At 35.5% G+C, this 20456-nt stretch overlaps 1 protein-coding gene across 21 annotated transcripts in view, besides 1 other annotated feature; it reads right to left on the minus strand.

The window, feature by feature from the left end:
* The window catches only part of DLG2 (discs large MAGUK scaffold protein 2), a 2173362-nt gene that overhangs the window by 1667364 nt on the left and 485542 nt on the right, over positions 1-20456 (minus strand). For 8 of the 21 annotated variants that reach the window (XM_017017285.2, XM_017017276.2, XM_017017269.2 and 5 more), the window contains exon 1: positions 10393-10762. The exons of the other annotated variants lie outside the window; for them this stretch is intronic. In XM_017017285.2, the coding sequence (XP_016872774.1) occupies positions 10393-10422 (30 nt within the window). In that variant the 5' untranslated portion in view covers positions 10423-10762. Of the gene's footprint in view, positions 1-10392; positions 10763-20456 lie in introns of those variants that run through there. 21 annotated transcript variants of the gene reach the window in all.
* Positions 1520-1569: an enhancer, noted in NCBI's record as "active region_5359". NCBI's record gives its function as "activates an Ori minimal core promoter by ATAC-STARR-seq in GM12878 lymphoblastoid cells {active_cell/tissue: GM12878}" and the evidence as "EXISTENCE:reporter gene assay evidence [ECO:0000049][PMID:35858748]".

Genomic DNA, 20456 nt, shown 5'->3' on the forward strand with positions numbered 1-20456 from the left:
GTATTCCAGGCATAAGAAAAAACAGGCACAACGAAGAAACAAGAGGATGAAATTCAAATTATTTGGGGAAACCAAATGTTATTGATTATAGTTGACTAAGGCATGAAAGGTAGTGGGATCTGAGATAGGCAGTTAGGCAAGGGATACAACATCGAGGGCCATGTGCTGCAGGGGAAACAATGCAGACTTTATCTTGAAGGGCAGTGCTTCTCAAACCTTAATGTGCAAAATCAACTAAGGATACAAATCAATTATCGATCTTATGAAAACGCAGATTCTGATTCAGTAGTTTCACACGGGGACTAAGATCCTGCATTTCCAGCAGTTTTCTAGCAGATGATATTGCATTTGGTGAACAAACAAAATTTTGAATAAGGGAGCAGTAGGGGACAGGGAATCCCTGAAGGATTATAACGAGAGTTGCAGAGTTGTGATATACATGCAAATTATATATATATATACACACACACACATAAATGCACACACATATACACACATATATATGTATATTTATACACATATACACACACATATTTATACACACACATGCATGTATGTGTGTCTGTATATATATTATATATATATATATATATATTTTTTTTTTTTTTTTTTTTTTTTTTGAGACAGAGTCTCGCTCTGTCGCCCAAGCTGGAGTGCCATGGTGCGATCTCGGCTCACTGCAAGCTCCACCTCCCGGGTTCATGCCATTCTCCTGCCTCAGCCTCCCAAGTAGCTGGAACTACAGGCACCTGCCACCACACTCGGCTAATTTTTTGTATTTTTAGTGAAAACGGGGTTTCACCGTGTTAGCAAGGATGGTCTCGATTTCCTGACCTCGTGATCCGCCCGCCTCGGCCTCCCAAAGTGCTGGGATTACAGGCGTGAGCCACCATGCCCGGCCTGTATGTATATTTTTTAAGGGAAGGTTCAAGTTAATGGTGTGGAAAATGTATAGGAGTGGAAAGATAGGAAAGGTAGGAAGACAAATAGGGATTCTATTGTAGAAATCCAGGTAAGAATTAGTGAGTCTCTGAAAAAGACCACTGGTAGTAGAAATTGTAAATAAAGGACAGATTATAAGGAATAGAATAAATAAGGATTGGGGCTGTGGGAGATTTAGGAATAAATAAAAATCAAGGTTAACTCCTACTTTTCTAACCATGACAACTGGGATAGTGGCATACAAAGAAATTGAGCACAGAGCAGAGTAGGAGAACTGTTTATGCTTGGAAGACTCCAGAGAGTAAACATTTTCCGGGAACTTTCGGCTTAAATTTACTTAATAGGTAAATAGAATTCCAAATTCCAAGAACTCATTCATTTACTCTCAAACCCGTTTCTCATAAAACCTGTCATCTCCAAAAGGTTAGCTCGAGAACTGAATTACTTAGATACAAAGAAAGTGATATGTGTGGGTAAGCATATTAAAACAGAGATATGAGGGGCAAAGGTTATTTTCATAGGCTTTTGAATCTGGTACTATCTTTGAACGCACAAATGGAAGAAGAAGCTAAAACATTTGGTATCTTTCTCTCACCAGTAAGAGGCTATAAACCTGCAAAGTATTATTCACTGAAGCCAGAGGAAATCCCCATCACCATGACTACACAAATAGAAATTTGCCACCAGAGTGGTAACTAGCTAATTGAATTAGTGAAATTTATCCTTCAGTGTCAGACTCCCAGAAATGAGGAAATGAGAGAGAAAGAGGAGAGGGAACAGAAACACCATCAGCTGCTATTTATTGGCTATGTGTATACATAGTTGCTACACTAAACCTTATGTGTATGTTGGCACTAGCTACTCCCCTTGTCTGGGATGTTCTTTGCCAAGACCTTCACAAAGGTGATCCTCTTAGATCTTCTTTTAACTTAAGTTTGCTTAAGTATTTATGTGACCTGTGTCACTTAAGATTACTTCTAACACATATACAGACACAGCTCTCATTTTTCTCTACCATACGGTGATGCTAATGGTAATGAAAGATGCCAATTTATGCTAGGATATCTTATTTTCAATAATTTCTCTCATCCTTTCCATGTATAGAGTACTTCGTACTTTTCAAATATATAAACTAATTTGATTCTGTACAATAATCCTGTTCAGGAACTACTGATAAGCCAGTATTATTACCCCATTTCAGACTTGAGAAAAATAAGGGTCAGAGAGGATAAAGTGAGTTTACTAAGATTACTAGTATAATAAATGGAAACCTCAAGTCTATATTTTCTGAATCTTGATCCAACACATATTCTCAGATTGCCTTTGGTGAAACATACATACATGCAACAAGACAGGTCCCTCAGGTAGCTATAATCATGGGTAATCTGCTTTAAGAAAATCTTATATTCCAAACATTCAAATTAAATAATGGATAAATACTAAAGGGCAGTGATGAATTCTTTTTTGTACATCATGAAAGATTTATAATATTTTTTAAAGTTTTGAGCACAGTAAAATTTTTTTTTTTTTTGAGACGGAGTCTCGCTGTGTCGCCCAGGCTGGAGTGCAGTGGCGCAATCTTGGCTCACTGCAAGCTCCGCCTCCCAGGTTCACGCCATTCTCCTGCCTCAGCCTCCCAAGTAGCTGGGACTACAGGCATCCGCCACCATGCCAGGCTAATTTTTTGTATTTTTAGTAGATACGGGGTTTCACCGTGTTAGCCAGGATGGTCTCGATCTCCTGACCTCATGATCTGCCCGTCTCGGCCTCCCAAAGTGCTGGGATTACAGGCGTGAGCCACCGTGCCCAGCCTGAGCGCAGTAAATGTGTAAATGTTATCTAAGTTGTAAAATTTCATTTGCAGTTGTTTCCTCTGCAGACCCACATTTGTCTGAGAATATAAGATTTATGTAAAGGTCTTATAAAGGACAATACTCTCAGTCTCATAGCTCTTCATAGCATTGTGTTGTTTTTACTCACAGAATCAAAAAGGGCTAATGTTATGAAGTAACATCCTGTAATCATGTTTGGAGGGAAAACCATTTACTACAGATGTGTTAACAGATGATTGGTATGATTCATATAATAAAGTTTTATTTTATTTCTAAAAGTTTAGTTTTACAGACTATGGATATATGTCTGAAAAACTACAAATCTACAACTAATTGTAATTTTAAATTAAGCCCTATATAAGTGCATTGCTTTTATTTAATTAGATATTTAGGTTGAGAAGGAATGAAATGCAAAGTATATTATCAAGAGTATATTTTAACTAAATAATAACTTTGTTGTGATTCAATCAGGAGAGAATAATAGTGAATGGGAACATGGATATTAGAGTCATAAAGACTTGAGTTGGAATCCCCACTATAAAACTTATTATTTCTGTGAATGCACCTCATCTTTAAGATATGAAGGATCACCAGGTTGGTCTAAAGACTAAACGTGTTTTTATTAAATTCAAGTACCTTCAATGTCCCAGACATTATACACACACACACACACACACACACACACACACACACACAAGAAAAAGGAACACAGTTCCTTTCCTTATGGAGTTTCTGTCTAGTCAAAAGAAAGACAAAATAATCACACAAATCAGTATGCACTATGAGTTGCTATGTGTGGAAATGTGGCATAAAAATCAGAGTGTACTCCAAGAATACATAAAATTTTAGGAAAGGTAGTGACATGTAAGGTGACATCTGGAATATAAGTAGAATTTAGATGGGTGGATGGTCATCTAGAAAAAAAAATAACAAATGGAAGTCGCCGAAACCAAAACATGGTTGACACCTTCAAAGAACGGCGGGAAGCCAGCAAGGCCAATGTGTCCTTTAGTTTAATGAAAGATAGGGAAGGTAACACAGATTTAAAAGATGGTCTCGTCCATGTATTTTCAACATTCTTGGAGTGTAAAATACAAGGTATAATGAAAGAAGATAAGACATGAGAGAAATTTAGGTTCTAAGTCAAAAGAGAATCGTATACTTTGGTAAGAATTTGTGTAACTACTCATCTTTCAATAGGTTGCTGAGAGTGATGTTGTTGGGTTTGTGTATTAGAATGATCCTCTTGCAGCTGGATGGAATACTTAATAAAAGAAAGTTAAGCTATTATATTAATGGCATTAGTATTTCATATGTCTGACACTATTAAATGGTTAATCCCAGGTTATTAAGACAGTCATAGAATCTCTTCTCTTTCTACACAAAAAGGTCAGGTTATGTTAAATTTTCCCTACTATTAGCTGTATTTATGCTCCTCTTTGCCACTCAATACATTTTTTTTCTGATACATCAAGCCCCCTGTTCCAATCTCCCCCACGTAGACATGCCACCTTGCAGACATTTGGTTGGAATGACAAGAATTAGAACCAGTGTCATTGGCAGGATAAATACAAGAAGTGCACCACAAAAAAAGATACAAAGATAAAGAAGCTATAGACCCTAACAAAGAACAGAGTGCCTACTCCCTACAAGGTAATATCCTAAGCATTTTATAGTTCTTATCTCACCGAATTCTTAAAACAACGCTGTGAGATAGGTACCCTTTCATGGATGAGAAAACTGCAGTGCTGAGAAGGTCATCCAGCTAGTAAAAGGGGAAACCATTATTTTACTGAACAGGTATAAGAATGGGCAACACAGGTTGTGGCAGAAAATAGGAGAGAGCTCAAATCAGGGGGATGAAATGGGAAAGAAGTCTGGGCAAGCTGGGATTTGGAACCAGTTTTAATGATGGATGGAATATCCTATTTCCTTTAAGATAACAAATATCTCAACTTCATGATATTTGTGACAGGGTGCTGATCTATCTCTGCATCCTCTATATCTTGTTACTCATATTGGACACCTTACATCCCAGCCATATTGTCCTTCCATTCTTGAAATGTGCAATTCATTCTCTCTCTCTCCCCCCGCCCCCCACCCACTCTCTCTTTCTATCTCTCTCTCTCTCCCCACACACCTGCCAGAGCTTTGCCTAAAACATTCTCCCAACCCCATTGTGGCTTTCATTCTGCAAATCAGCTTAATTTTCACTTCCTCAGGAAAGCCTCCCGATATTTATCCCTGCCTACCCTGCAACAAAGCTAATCAGGTTCTTTAGGTATCCCTGTATCCCTATCCTCATTTCCATAGCACTCTATATTCATTTTCTTATCAGACATCACTGCTATTTCTGTAATTGGTTGTTTTCCCCATTAGACGAAAGGTTCCATGAGAACAGATTGCCTGTTGTATCCCCACACCTTTCAACATGTCAAGTGCATAGTAAGCATTCAATATATACTTGTTAGATTAATAAAATGAATGAATAAATGTGATGCTTCTACCATGGGAGCAACTGTACACCAGCATGAATAAATAGCTTTGTCTATGAACACAAGACCACTCAGGAAACCATTTGTTGCCTTGGTGATTTGTTTCATTTTCTCTACATGAAGCTCTGGTGGAAAATAAAAATCATTTTAGCTTTTCCAAATACCTTATTTGCAAATATTTCTGTTAAGAATCCACTTACAAAAGGACAAGATGCCACCTTTTAAAAATTAAAGTCATAATAAAAAATATTATATTCACCAGCTGTGATAAAAATATTTTTAATGCCTGGCAATAACTTTTATTTCCTTTCAGTAATTCTGAGTGATTTTTAATTCTTATTAAAGATAGTGGGTTGACAGAGGCAAAGAGTGAAATCATATTTACAAAACAGATGTAGTATTAACTACATCAAGAAAAGCTTCTTTTGTGCTGCCTGGTCCACTTTTCACTCTGCTATGTGAATTTTATTATGTACATTAACCTGTTATACATAATAAAAATGAATAGTACCATCATGCCTTTATTAACAAATTATAGCAGTAACTTAACATATTGCAGTTTTATTTGTAGATTTTTTTTAAACTTTTTCAAATGTATAAGTATGGTTAATGGATATCTGAAATTATGCCAATGTGTGATTCACCCACTACTACTATTTAAGATACTTAACCTAAACAATTTTATCTTCAGAGAAAATATAGAATAATGTTAGATTCAAAATAGAAAAGGAAATACCTCAGAGATGCAATAAAATATACTCATTTTAAAGAAAAAGACAATGGTGGCCAAATGCCTTTGGGTGCCCATGGTCAGAAAGTAGAGATTTACTTTTCGCAGTTCCACACTTTTTTCTGTTCTTATATCAAATCCTTTATGTTATTACATATGATACTTGAGAATTCCTAAGCAGTAAAAGAAAAATTCTATTGACTCCTTGCATTTCATTAAATTAGGCAGAATATTCTGCCTGCGATCCAGAACTATTGTCCTATTGCCCAATCATGTAAACTCATGGCTCTGCCTAACATTATTTTCCTTATATTTTAGTTGTGAAACTTATTGGGATTATTTATCTTTCAACTACTCAAAACATACGTAGGGAATTCCATTATATAAAATGTGTTGCATTAGTTATTGGATTGTGTTTAGCCAGTGTTATTGAGATGACTTCATTTACCTCAATGATCATACTGAGGGGTATTCATTAAAGTTATAAATTGTGAGTTGCTGAATAAATTATACTATATACACATTTTTCCATATACCAGGAATTGTGCTAAGTACTTTACATACTCCACCACAACATCACTTAGACATAGGTAATATATCCTTTTCGAAGATGAAGAAATCAGTGTTTGAGGAAGTTAAACAACTTATCCACATCTTAAAACTAATACATGTCAGAACAACAATTTAAATCCAAGTCTCGCTCCAGTATCCTGCTATTCACACTAAAACATGTTCTTTCTCTTTCTCAGAAGTGATATCTGTGACAAAAGAGTTAAACTTGAAACTGGACAGAAACATTTGAGAAAAAGAGATGACTCAATCTTCTGAAAGTGGGTTGCCTGAGCATTTGACAAGACTTGGGATCCATGTGACAGAAACTCTGTATTTATGAATACTCTGATGATTTCCTAGTCTACAAGATCTTACTCCAAATCTGATACATTCTGCAAATCAATCTAACTAGACTGGAGCTCTTAAGACTTTAAACAATCTGAGTTAAATGGGGTAAGATCTAAGGTGGGATTATTTTATCAGAGCATTTACACAAAATCCACAATCATTTCCTTCCCTTTATATGTAGAAACAAAATAAAAATGATTCTCCATCACCATTCTAACTGGCATGAGATGGTATCTCATTGTGGTTTTGATTTGCATTTCTCTAATGAAAAGCAATCATTGAAAAGTCAGGAAACAACAGAATGTGGAGAAATAGGAACGCTTTTACACTGTTGGTGGAAGTGTAAATTCAACCATTGTGGAAGACAGTGTGGCAATTGTTCAAGGATCTAAAACTAGAAATACCATTTGACCCAGCAATCCCATTACTGTGTATATACCCAAAAGATTATAAATCATTCTACTATAAAGACACATGCACACGTATGTTTATTGCAGCACTATTCACAATCGCAAAGACTTGGAACCAACCCAAATGACCATCAATGATCAAATGGATAAAGAAAATGTGGCATATATGCACCATAGAATACTATGCAGCCATAAAAAAGAATGAATTAATGTCCTTTGCAGGGACATGGATGAAGCTGAAAATCATCATTCTCAGCAAACTAACACAGGAATAGAAAACCAAACACCACATGTTATCATTCGTAAGTGGGAGTTGAACAATGAGAACATATGGGCACAGGGAGGGGAGCATCACACACCGGGGCCTTTTGAGGGGTGGGGGGCAAGAGGAGAAATAGCATTAAGAGAAATACCTTATGTAGATGATGGGTTGATGGGTGTAGCAAACCACCATGGCACATGTATACCTGTGTAACAAACCTACACATTCTGCACATGTATCCCAGAACTTAAAGTACAATTCTAAAAAATTATTCTCCAGTATGTCTAATAGATCCTTTTATATTACCATTATACAATTATATTTTCTAGATTTATCAGCATCCCTCTGCTCATTAATCTTCTTACAATCTTTAGGAATGTGGAACAAAGACAAAAGGAGGAATTTATCTCTATAGTATGTCCAGTAGGGGAAAATGGCAGAACTCAGAGCTCACAGAGGTCTAGGAGGAGCCAAGGGGACAGTGAGGGACTTTCATGCCAAGGAAAGGGAAGGAGGAACAAAAATGCTATTACCAATGGAAATATTTCTGTTTTCCTGCCACTAAAAACTTGACAAAGGTAGCGGTCAGCTGTGGTATCGAAATGTGCTGTGAATGAAATGGAGCTTAGGACGTATCATAATTAACAGTTCCAGTCTCACATAAAGCTTCTGTAAAGCAATAATTGAAGACAGCACCTTAGCCAGAGCTATTGGAAAGTGAACTTATTGCTGGGGGATAAGGAGATGAGTATTAAACTAAGATATAATTAAAATTTCCAAATTGTGGGCAAGTTTCTTGTCAAACAGTCCCAAGAAAGTAGAGCAAGGGCATCCCAAGTGCATGGCCACTTGGGGAAAAACAGTAAAGTATCAACAGTGGTAGACTAAATAGATAAGATTTGCAGTCTAAAGTCCTCTAAGAGGTCTCTTCACCTATGTCCAGCTTTTGAAGCAATCATGCATTATTTACCATTTAAATATTACAATGTAACTTTGCTGTATGTTTGTTCTTTAAAGATGTTATATACATCACTCTAGAAATGTTCGTGGATATAACTAAGAAAATGAAATTTCATGTGGGTCTGTGTTTTGTTGATTCGTATAATTTATATGATAAATCACAATACTGGAGTAATGACATTTATCTCTTATTAAGAATTTAAAGCAAAATAATAATATGTATCACCTATGTACCTGTAGTCAATAATATTTTTATAAGTAAATATAAGGCATATGACATTTTTTATTAGATAATGTTTTCCAAATTGAAGGCACTTGGATTTCGGTATTGATTTAATTTGTATAATATAGTAGACTTCTAGTTTGGGTTCTCATTAATAACTTTTGATAACTTATTTTTACAATATTAATTATGTTTCACAGTATCTAAAATTATTATAATTTGGGAATAAATAATCATAAAACACAAGTAGATCAGATTTGGTAGTATTGTCTCAAGAAAAGTAACACAAGGGTAACACCTCAGGAAGAGTAACATATTTAAGAGGATATTTCCTTTAGTAGATTACATAAGGACATACAATTTCCTACTTAAGATTTTTTAAAATTTATTTTAGTTGATTTACTGATTTAACTGGAATACTGCATGAGATGTTTGGCAATTTTTAAAAGTAAAATAAGGTATTCATCTAATTTAGAGGCCTAGTCAACTAACTCAACTAGAAGTTTTAGGCTTTAAATCCACTAACATCAACTGAAGCTGCCATGTGATATTAGGCCATATGGGAAGATATCCATTATGATTTTCTGGGGCTTCATTTGTAAAAGTAATATATTTAAGGTCATACTATGGGGAACTTGGTTTGTGGCTTTGAAATTAAATAATCTTTTCTTCAGTGGTAAAAGGAGATCACAATGGGACATCTACACTTAGTTAACTCTCATGTACTAAGCTATTAATTTTGTTATGTTTAATAGTCATCTAATCAACGTGAGATACAAAAAGATATGGTTCAAATTAACTCATGGTATGCTTACATGCAAAATGAAAAGGGAACTAATGAATAAATGTCTATAATTAGTTTTTCCCAAAAATATTAGGAATATCTATTCAAATAATCAGTGATTATAAAATTTAAATACATTATTTAGAACTGATGACAGAATAAAATAAAATGCTTTTGAAATGTTTTGCTATTTTCTGTAAAACAAATCCATAAAACGATTGCCTATTGATTTTATTTCATTCCCACTTTTATTTATACTTCCAATAATGCAAATATTTGTGTATAATTAAAATAGAATTAGCTAAATATTAAATATTGTGTTTGTTTTAACTCAGGGCCTTGAGATTTTTTTCCTTTAAAATAAATCACTAAAATGCAGAATATCAGAATTCTCCAATCAGAAGCAATATGTCAAGTCACAGTAAAGCTGATTGGCTTCTTCAAACACAGAAGACATGGTTTTTAAATGAAAAGCTAATTATCACACTCAGAAAGACTGCCCTGATATGTTAAGTTAAACTGATGTGTATGTGCTACACTACTACTATAGATATTTCTATTATGAGCTATAAATAGATGCAAAAGCAAATCCTGCCATAAAAAAAAAACAAAAAACAAAAAAACAGGCAAATTCTCCTTCCATTTGCACAAACATGCAATATCACTTTAAGAAGTTAAAATCACATAAAGACAGGACCCCCCAGACCCTCAGGGAACAAAATGCCCAGCAAAGTAAATTATACTAATCATTTTCTCTCATGAACTGGCAGCACCTACTAGAACTGTTTAATTACGGGACCAGAATAATAATAGAAAAATGCTGCACACAATAACAGCCCTGTTTCCTATCCTACCTTTGTGGTGACAATGCACAGGCAATCCATCCTGGATCCCTACACAGGACTCAGTACATGGAAATCACACCAGCAAATCAGCAAAGGTGAGAAAAGCCTTTTGGAAATTGCACACAGAAAGAAGCAGAGCTTGGATTCTGTACAGACGGCTTTTCCAAGGGGGCCCCTCATGGGAAACTCGAGCCCTCCTCCATACAGCTCAAGGCAAGCAGGATTCTGCTAGGCACCAGAAAATCCCCTAGAAATCAGCTCCGGCAAAACTTCCCGGTGGCTTCCTGGGCTCCGTGGCTGCATGGTCTTTTAGCGGATTCCTTGATTGGAACAAGGCTCCTGTGAGTGCCCCGCACAGTTCTATCGTTGCGATGAGTGTAACACCAAGCACCAGGGAATCACATTTCAGCTCTTGCTCTTGTTTCTGAATTCTGATGTGCTGCTTCAGTATACTCATAATATTTTCTTTGCCAAAGTCCCCCCTTTGTTGCCTTCCTTTCTTACTAACACTGAGTAACACAAAAAACTACCCGTCCCATCTACCAAATGGCTGTCGTTCCAGTGCCAGAATAGCGGCTTTGGATAATAAAATGCTATTTATTATGAGCATGATTGCCGGGAGTCTAAATGACTCGAAAGATATGACTGAAAAGCTAAGGTGCATGTGGTACTGCATACATCACATCTCAACTCACTTGCAATTACAAGGGCAGCTTCTTACAAATGACTAACAGCTGGATAAGGAAAATCAAGCCAGTGACATAAGGAAACTGCGGATTTGGAGGTTTAACTTATAGAAAAGGGTTACATTTCTCCTTTTTTGTGTTTACCTATGTGTGTGGTCCATGACATATGCAAATACACAAACAACCTGAACATATAAATGAATATTATGAAATTGGGGTGGGAGGAGGTTCTAAAGTGTTTACAAAACTTCCACATTCTGAGTGAAAAAATGAGTTCTTTCCCAAACTTTTCCCTCCTCACTTGCTGTCTGCAGGCACTTATTAAGTGGGCAGAGCTTTGTGTTGCCTTCTGCAGCATTTTAACAGCCAAATGATTAGCACTCTCCCCTCCCCCAAATCCCTCCCTTTCTTCTAGTAAAGCTGCTACTACATAGACGGCCTTTGAGGTGCTTGACAAGCATCACTCTGGATAATAATATACTTTTTTTTCCCATCATCTTAGACACACAGGCAGTCACAGACTGAAACAGAAAAACAGACACAGGAGCTCAGAAAGGAGAGAGGGGGTGGGAAGGGAGAATGAGGGAGAGTGAGGGAGAGTGAGGGAGAGTGAGAGAGAGTGAATGACAGAATGGAAAGCACTGCCTGACCAATAAAAATCGAAAATCAATGATTCGCTTTCACTAGGAAGAAAATACATAGTCAACTGGACCATTGAAATATCAAAAATAAATGTCTAGGGACCCATACACTTTATCTCCTCAGGATACTGGCAGGACCATTTCCCACCCCACTACTAACCACCACCCTCTTTTTTTTTTTTCATAAAAAGTATACTTTCTTGGGAGGCCGAGGCGGGCGGATCACGAGGTCAGGAGATCGAGACCATCCCGGCTAAAACGGTGAAACCCCGTCTCTACTAAAAATACAAAAAATTAGCCGGGCGTAGTGGCGGGCGCCTGTAGTCCCAGCTACTTGGGAGGCTGAGGCAGGAGAATGGCGTGAACCCGGGAGGCGGAGCTTGCAGTGAGCCGAGATCCCGCCACTGCACTCCAGCCTGGGCAACAGAGCGAGACTCCGTCTCAAAAAAAAAAAAAAAAAAAAAAAAAGTATACTTTCTATGATAAACAATTTGGAAAAAAATAATATAAATAATATGTAAGACTTCTACTTTTCATGAATTATTGAGGTTCTAACCTCAATATCCCAATAACCTCCTGATTGCTAAATAAATGAATGTCTCAGAAACTGACATGTCATTATTTTACCCAAATGAGAGCACTGTTCATAAAGATTTTAAGTTCATAGCAAATCAAATACGTGTTCTGAGGAAAAAAAGAAGAAAAGACAAGCTCCTAAAGTTCAATTTGATATAAAAACCTTCAAAAGTGGCTCAAAAAATATTTATAGTTAAAAAATATAATTTCTTCTGAACTGCTATCCTACTGATGTAAGAAATTTCAAGTAAGTTTCAAGTTAAACACCACCAATAAAATCCATGCTCTGGTCCATTCCATTAGGTAACTCTGTCTTATGGTTCAGTAATTTGAAAAGGTCAAAGAAACACCAGTTTGTCTATTCACCCTCATTTGTTACATCATCACAATAATTATTTTAACTCAATACTTCCTAAGCTTATCTAAGGGTGCGTAAAACCTTATATCTTTATGTACCAGCGTGTTTCCCTGGCACAACTAACATCTAATAGGTAATTGAGACTTACTGCCATATTCATGTTCAAAATAATTAGTCTTTGTGTCCCTATAGCACCTTAAAGTTGACAAAGAACTTGTAACAGTCTCACAGGCTTGGGAAGTTTAAATGACTTCCTAAAAGCCTAGTAACTTTCAATAGCAACATTAAAGACCACGTCCCTTAATTCCAAGTCCAGGTCTTTGTTAGTCATAGAGACAGTCAGAATGGAGACAATCAGGGGTTAGACAGAGGAAGTAAATAAATTGGATAGCAGAGTAAGATGAGTATTTTCACAAGGTATCCTGGAAGATGATACCTTCGGAACTTCATTCCATCTTTGCAGAGAGGCAGACACTTAGAGAAAAATTAGCAAAGGGAGCCTGATTAGTCTTCTAACGTTGGTGGATCACAGAGGAAAGCACTTTGTAAACTATAGAGACTTGCAGAAATAAAACACAGCTTGTCTAGCATAGGTTCTAGAATACCTTAGGCAGTCCCTAAGTCATTCACCTGACACATGTTTGTTGAGCACTCATTATGTGATTATTTGATTAATGTCTATATCACCCTCTAAAATGCACTCCTTAAAGATAGTTTTAACTCTTTATTTCCATTGCCTAGACTAGTGTCTCATTCATTCAACAAATATACTTGAGAATCTACTTATGTGGAAACACAAAGTGAGGAAAAGCTAGCAAAATCCCTGCCCACAAGAGAATAAAAAACTATAATACCGTACAGAAAGCATTTGGGAGTGTTTTACGTCTACAAAATAGAGGCATTTAACCCAGAATGGAGCAGTGAGGGAAAGCTTTCTGGAGAGGGGCCTTGAGCTAAGATGAGGAAGAACCATAGGAGTTAACTAGAAGTTAGGAGAAAAGAGAATTGCGTGCACTCTATTGTATTTGAAAAAGGAATGAATCAGCAATATGTTATACCTTTATACAATCAGTTTAATAAATACATCCAATAAAAGTGCTTCAGAGCAAGCATTTTACAGCAAGCATTTTACAAACTGAATATGCAATCTTTATTTGAGAAAGAAGAGCATTGCTCATATAACTTTGAGTACAAGTATACTGTAAATGCATGTACAATATGTATGTTATATATTCATTTGTTTGTATTCGCCTCAAGTGATTAACTGGATAATGTATGTAGGTTTAGATATAAGTACATAACATTTTGAAGTGTAGACCCATTTGGGTTTTCCACTTTGTGTATACCTTATCTTTGATTGATTTTCCTCAGATATAAAGATGATAGAGGATAATTCACTCCTTTGCCTCAAGGGAAACATTATGTTGTTTTTATAATTAACAAGGTATTGACATGAAGCATTTTTTTTTTTAACAGACACAGTGCTCAGTTGGGCCTGTGATTTTCACAAGAAGTCTTTGGCAAGATAAAAAGCCTCAGCCTGCAAGCTGCTTTACTTGATATTCCTTGAGGTTAATGATCTAAAACTAGAAATATATTGATTCTTAGTAAAACCTATCATTGAAAGTTTGATATCATAAAATTACTCTTGTAAATTACTTGCACTAAACCTGTACCTTAACCACTTAAATCCATTATTACTTTTATTTTGTTTGTTTCCAACAGGGAAAAATATGTTTAGAAGTGAAGTCCAGTCAGTGTCTATTCTAGAATCTAAGCCCCTTGAGGGCAGATTTAATGTATATATCTGGCACCTAATATGGTACTGGCACTTAAGAGGCACAAAATCAATATTAGTGGAATGAAAGAATAATCACAGCTCTAGTTATGCTATTTTTTGATAGTTTTTAAAAAATCTATTTAAACTTATGATCCCTTATTCATATGAGAACCATATATTTATATTAATTATATACATATATACATATGTGCATACATAAAAATTTAAAAATAAATATATTGGTGCATGTAGCTGAAGGTATTTGCAAATAAAAATATTTTCATTGGAAAATCCAGTCTGATGTAAGAAGGTATGGTTTAGAACAGTCTTATCTATAATGGAGAAGGGCAATTTCTAGCTGAAGTGTTACAAGTACAGGATGCTACTGAAACTAGGTGCTTGCTATTGTGTTAGAAAAACAGTAATAAATATAAGCATGTTAATAATAATAGTAATTTATCAAGTGGCTATTATCTGAAGTACTGGGGTAAATACTTTGTAACTATTATCTCATGGTCATAATACCCTTTAGGAAATAATTATAATCCCTATTTTATAGTTAAGGAAACTGAAGTTGCTTGAGGTTCTATGACCTGCCGTGACACAAAACCTAGGTGACCCCAACACAGAGAGTGGTCTATGTTATTTCCGTCTCATCACACTGCAAATCCTGAAATCGTTTCTGTCCCTCTGGGTCCAAACTGAGAGTATGGCACAAACAGATACAAAAGGCCTTCTCCTTAGCCAAAGGTAGCCTGGACTCCATGCAGATGAACTATAAACAACCTGTGATCCTCCTAAAAAGATAGGTTCATCTCTGGGTTCCTATCTGACACCTTCCATAGCTTATAAGGGCCTTGGGAATAACCCCAGAAGGAATGGACTCCACATTAGAAAGATTAGGTCCAAAGGAAATAACAAGAAATCCACCCACCTGGCCTCCTATCCCTGTCTATCTGTTCCCCATATACCCAGAACAGCAGGCACACAAATGACATCTGCAAAGCTTGTTAGCTTAGTAAAATAAATAGACTGCAGGCAGGTCATGGCAAAATGCCTGCCCTCATTTCCAAACTCTCCAGAGGTAAGTAAGAAATTAGGATCAACTGAAAAAAGACTGAATTTTTCAGAGTTTCTATCATTAAAAAAATCAGGACAGTAATGGATCCCGAAAATAATTCATGAAAAGCAGGAGTCTATGTATTCTGTTCAAGTTAAATGTGTATCCTTACAAAAAAATATAAAAACTAAACAAGCAAAATTTTGAGTGAACCAATAATTGCTAATGAAATGAATTAATTTTTAGTTTTAACCCATCTTTTAATCATGATATTCAATTGTATGGACCTAAATTTTATGTCAGTTTTTCTCATGTGAGTTGGAACATAGTTAAATGATAGCCATGTAGCTCTCCCAGTTATTATCATCATCAAAATCTAAACAACCTTTGAAATTTTATATAAATGGTAGGTTATAATGTAAACATTCAATAAAAATTGTGTCCCTAACAAATCAAAGTTTACATAAACTTTGTTGAACATTAACTACATTTCTTATGAGGCTCAATTTTTCCTATTATACAATGCTGTGGGTTGAGTGGATTCCAGAAATCCAAATAGTTGTGTGCAAGCCACAAATCTAAAAAGCTATAATGGTCAAAAATAAAATTTTGCTTTCAAGTCAATATAAATAACCTCAGCAGTATTGCTAAATGCCATTCCCATACTCCACCTTCTTATACCCTGATATGGTTTGGTTGTGTCCCCACCCAAATCTCAACTTGAATTCTATCTCCCAGAATTCCCACGTCGTGGGAGGGACCCACGGGAAGTAATTGAATCATGGATGCCGGTCTTTCCCATGCTATACTTGTGTTATGGAATCAGTCTCACAAGATCTGATGGGTTTATCAGGGATTTATGCTTTTGCTTCTTCCTCATTTTCTCATACTGTCACCATGTAAGATGTGTCTTTCACCTCCTGCCATGATTCTAAGGCCTCCTCAGCCAAGTGGAACTATAAGTCCAATTAAACCTCTTGTTCTTTCCAGTCTCGGGTATGTCTTTATAAGCAGCCTGAAAACGAACTAATACATACCCAAAGCACACTGGCCTGTTACCTGTTCCTCAATATAGTGTTTCACTCTAATTCTTCCTCCGGGCCTTGAATTTGTTGTTTCTTCTGCCAGAAACTGTTTTTCCCTGGATTTGCACATGGCTGGCTCCTTCTCATCATTCAAGGCTCTGCTCAGATGTTACCACCTCAGCAAGACCTTCCCAAACTGATTTCCCCTAATTAGAATCTCTTCCATCCCTTCTCCATTACATCATCCCAGTTTATTTCCTCCATATGATTATCACAATCCAAAATTATCTTCTCTATTCATCTCTTACTATCTCCCCTATCTGAAGTTTACCAGTGAGAGCAGGAACCTTATGTTTTGTCCATGGCAATCTCACCAGTGTTTAGAACATAACAGATGCTAAACAGAGATTTTTGAATGAGTGAATGAATGAATGAGATGCATCACATGGAAACTCTTTAAAAAGTATATGGCTAGAATCAGCAGTCCAACATGAAATTTGCAATGCAAGATCTTTAACATAGTTTGGTTTCTAAGGATCTGATTTACACTAACAATAGTATTTACAAACATACACATAAACAATAGTTTTTTGGATTCAAAATTAATTTATTTTGAAATAAATTGTATTGGGAATAATTAAGGTATACAACATCATGTAAGATATATATACATAGTAAAAAGGTTATTATAGTGAAGCAAATTAACATATTTATCACTTCTCATATAGTTACCCATTTTTTGTTTTTGTGTCAAGAACAGCTAAAATCTACTCATTTAGCATGAATCCCATATATAATACAATGTTATTACCTACAGTCCTCATGGTGTACATTAGCTCTTTAGGCTTCTTCATAGTACATATCTGCTAGTTTGTATCCTCCAGCCTACATCTCTTCATTCCTCCCAACTCAGTAACCACTGTTTTATTCTGTGTGTGTATTTTTTAAATTTTATTTTGTATATGGTAAGTATGTGTATATGTATACACACACAGATAGATAGATTCCACATATATGTGAGATTATGCAATATTTTCCTTTCTGTGTCTGGCTTATTTCACTTAGCATAATGTCCTCCCAGGCTCCTCCATGTCATGGCAAGTGGAAAGATCTCATTCTTTTTTAAAGCTGAATATTATTCCATATTATGTGTGTACCACAGTTTCTTTATCCATTCACCCACTGACAAACACTTATTTCCCCATCTTGGCTATTGTGAATAATACCGCAAAGGTCATACGAGTGCAAATATTTTTACAAGATTGTGCTTTCATTTCCTTTGTGTATATGCCCAGAAGAGGAATTGCTGGGTCATACAGTGTTGTATCTTCAGTTTCTTTAGGGACCTCCATACTGTTTTCCATAATGGCTGTACCAATCTCCATTCCCACCAACAGTGTACAGAGTTCCCATTTCTCCACATCATCACCAACATTTGTCATCTTTTGACTTTTATTTAGAAATAGTAAACAATTTATATGACACTCCCAAAACAAAGAAAGGTATGCACAGAATAATTTTTGTAGAAAATATGCATTTGTAACCTATCTTTTTAAAAAATTATGAGTACATGATAGTTATATATATTTATAGGGTACATGTGATGTTCTGGTACAAGCATAAAATGTTTAATGATCACATCAGGGTAACTGGGATATCCATCACCTCAGGAACTTATTTTTTTTTTTGTATTAGACACATTCCAATTCCAGTCTTAGTTTTTTGATATATACAATAATTATTGTTGACTATAGTCACCCTGTTGTGTTATCAAATACTAGATCTTATTCATTCCATCTAACTATACTTTTATATAAATTAACCATCCCCACTTTTCCCCTCCATCACCACTACTCTTCCCAGCCTTAGGTAGCCATCATTATACTCTTTTCTCTCCATGAGTTCAACTGTTTTAATGTTTAGCCACATATGACACAGAACATGTGAAATTTGTCTTTCTGTGCCAGGTTTCTTTCACTTAACATAATGACCTCAAGTTCCATCCATGTTGTTGCAAATGATAGGAGTTCATTCTTTTTTGTGGCTAAATAATATTCCAATGTGTACCACATTTTCTTTACCCATTCATCAGTTGATGGACACTTTGATTCCAAATCTTGGCTAAGTGAATAAATAATAAATACAGGAGTGTAGGTATCTCTTCAATATGCTGATTTCTTTTCTTCTGGATAAATACCTAGCAATGGGATTGCTCAATCATATGGTAATTTCTATTTTTAATTTTTGAGGAATCTCCATACTCCTCTCCATAGTGGATGTACTAATTTATACTCCCATAAACAGTGTATGAGGGTTACCCTTTCTCCACATCCTCACCAGAACTCATTATTTCCTGCCTTTTGGATAAAAGCCATTTTAACTGGGGTGAGATGATACCCCACTGTTGTTTTGATTTGCATTTCTTGATGATTAATAATGTTGAGTATTTTTCATATATCTATTGGCTATTTACACATCTTCTTTTGAGAAATCTCTGTTCAGATCTTTTGTCCATTTTAAAATCAGATTATTTGTTTTTTTTCCCATTGAGTTGTTTGAGCTCCCTATATATTAGGGTTATTAATCTATTATCACATGAAAATATTTCCTCCCATTGTATAATTTGTCTCATTTGTTGATTATTTCCTTTGCTATGGAGAACTTTTTAGCTTGATGTAATGTCATTTTTCTATTTATGCTTTGGTTGCCTGCACTTCTGAGGTATTACTCAAGAAATTTTTGCCCAGACCAATGTCCTAGAGAGTTTCTTCAGAGTTTTCTTTCAGTAGTTTCATAGTTTCAGGTCTTATATTTAAATCTTTAATCCATTTTTATTTTATTTTTGTATATGGTGAGATATAGGGTTGTAGTTTCATTTTTCTGCACATGGATATCCAGTTTTCCTGGCACAATTTATTAAAGAGACTGTCCTTTTCCCAAAATATGTTCTTCACACCTTTGTCAAAATTGAGTTCATGGTAGATGTATGGATTTATTTTTGCATTCTCTATTCTGTTCCATTGATCTATGTGTCTGTTTTTATTCCAATACCATACTGGTTTGGATACTATAGCTCTGTAGTATAATTTAAAGTCAGGTAATGCAATTCCTCCAGCTTTGTTCTTTTTGTTGCCCATGATGGCTTTGGCTATCCTGGGTCTATACTGGTTCCATACAAATTTTAGGATTACTTTGTTATTTCTGTGAAGAATGTCATTGGTATTTTGATAGGGATTTCACTGAACGTGTAGATTGCTTTCAGCAGTATGAACACTTTAACAATATTGATTTCTCCAATCTATTAACACAAAATATCTTTCCATTTTTTGTGCCCTCTTCAATTTCTTTTACTAATGTTTTATCGTTTTCATTGAAGAGATCATTTACTTCTGTGATTAAAATTTATTCCTAGGCATATTATTTTATTTGTAGTTATTGTAAATGGGAGTTTTTTTCTTGGTTTCTTTTTCAGGTTGTTCATTGTTGACATTTAGAAATGCTAATACTTTTTGTATGTTGATTTTGTATCCTGCAATTGTATTGAATTTATTCTTCAGTTCTATTAGTATAGTTTTTTGGTGGAATTTTTAGGTTTTTCTAAATAGAAGATCATATCAGCTATGAACAAGAATAATTTGACTTCTTTCATTCCAATTTGGATGCCCTTTATTATTTCTCTCATTTAATTACTCTAGCTAGGACTTCCAGTGCTATATTGAATAGCAGTGGTAAAAATGGGCATCCTTGTCTTGTTATATATCTTAGAGAAAAGGCTTTTAATTTTTCCCCTTCAGTCTGGTACTGTGTAGGAGTCTAGCATACATAGCTTTTAATTGTGTTGAGGTATGTTCCCTCTATGCCACATTTTTTAGCATTTTTGTCACGAAGAGATGTTGAATTTTATTGAATGCTTTTCAGCATCAAATGAAATATGGTTTTATCCTTCA

Source organism: Homo sapiens, chromosome 11 (assembly GCF_000001405.40).
Source record: "Homo sapiens chromosome 11, GRCh38.p14 Primary Assembly".
NCBI classification, from domain to species: Eukaryota; Metazoa; Chordata; class Mammalia; order Primates; family Hominidae; genus Homo; species Homo sapiens.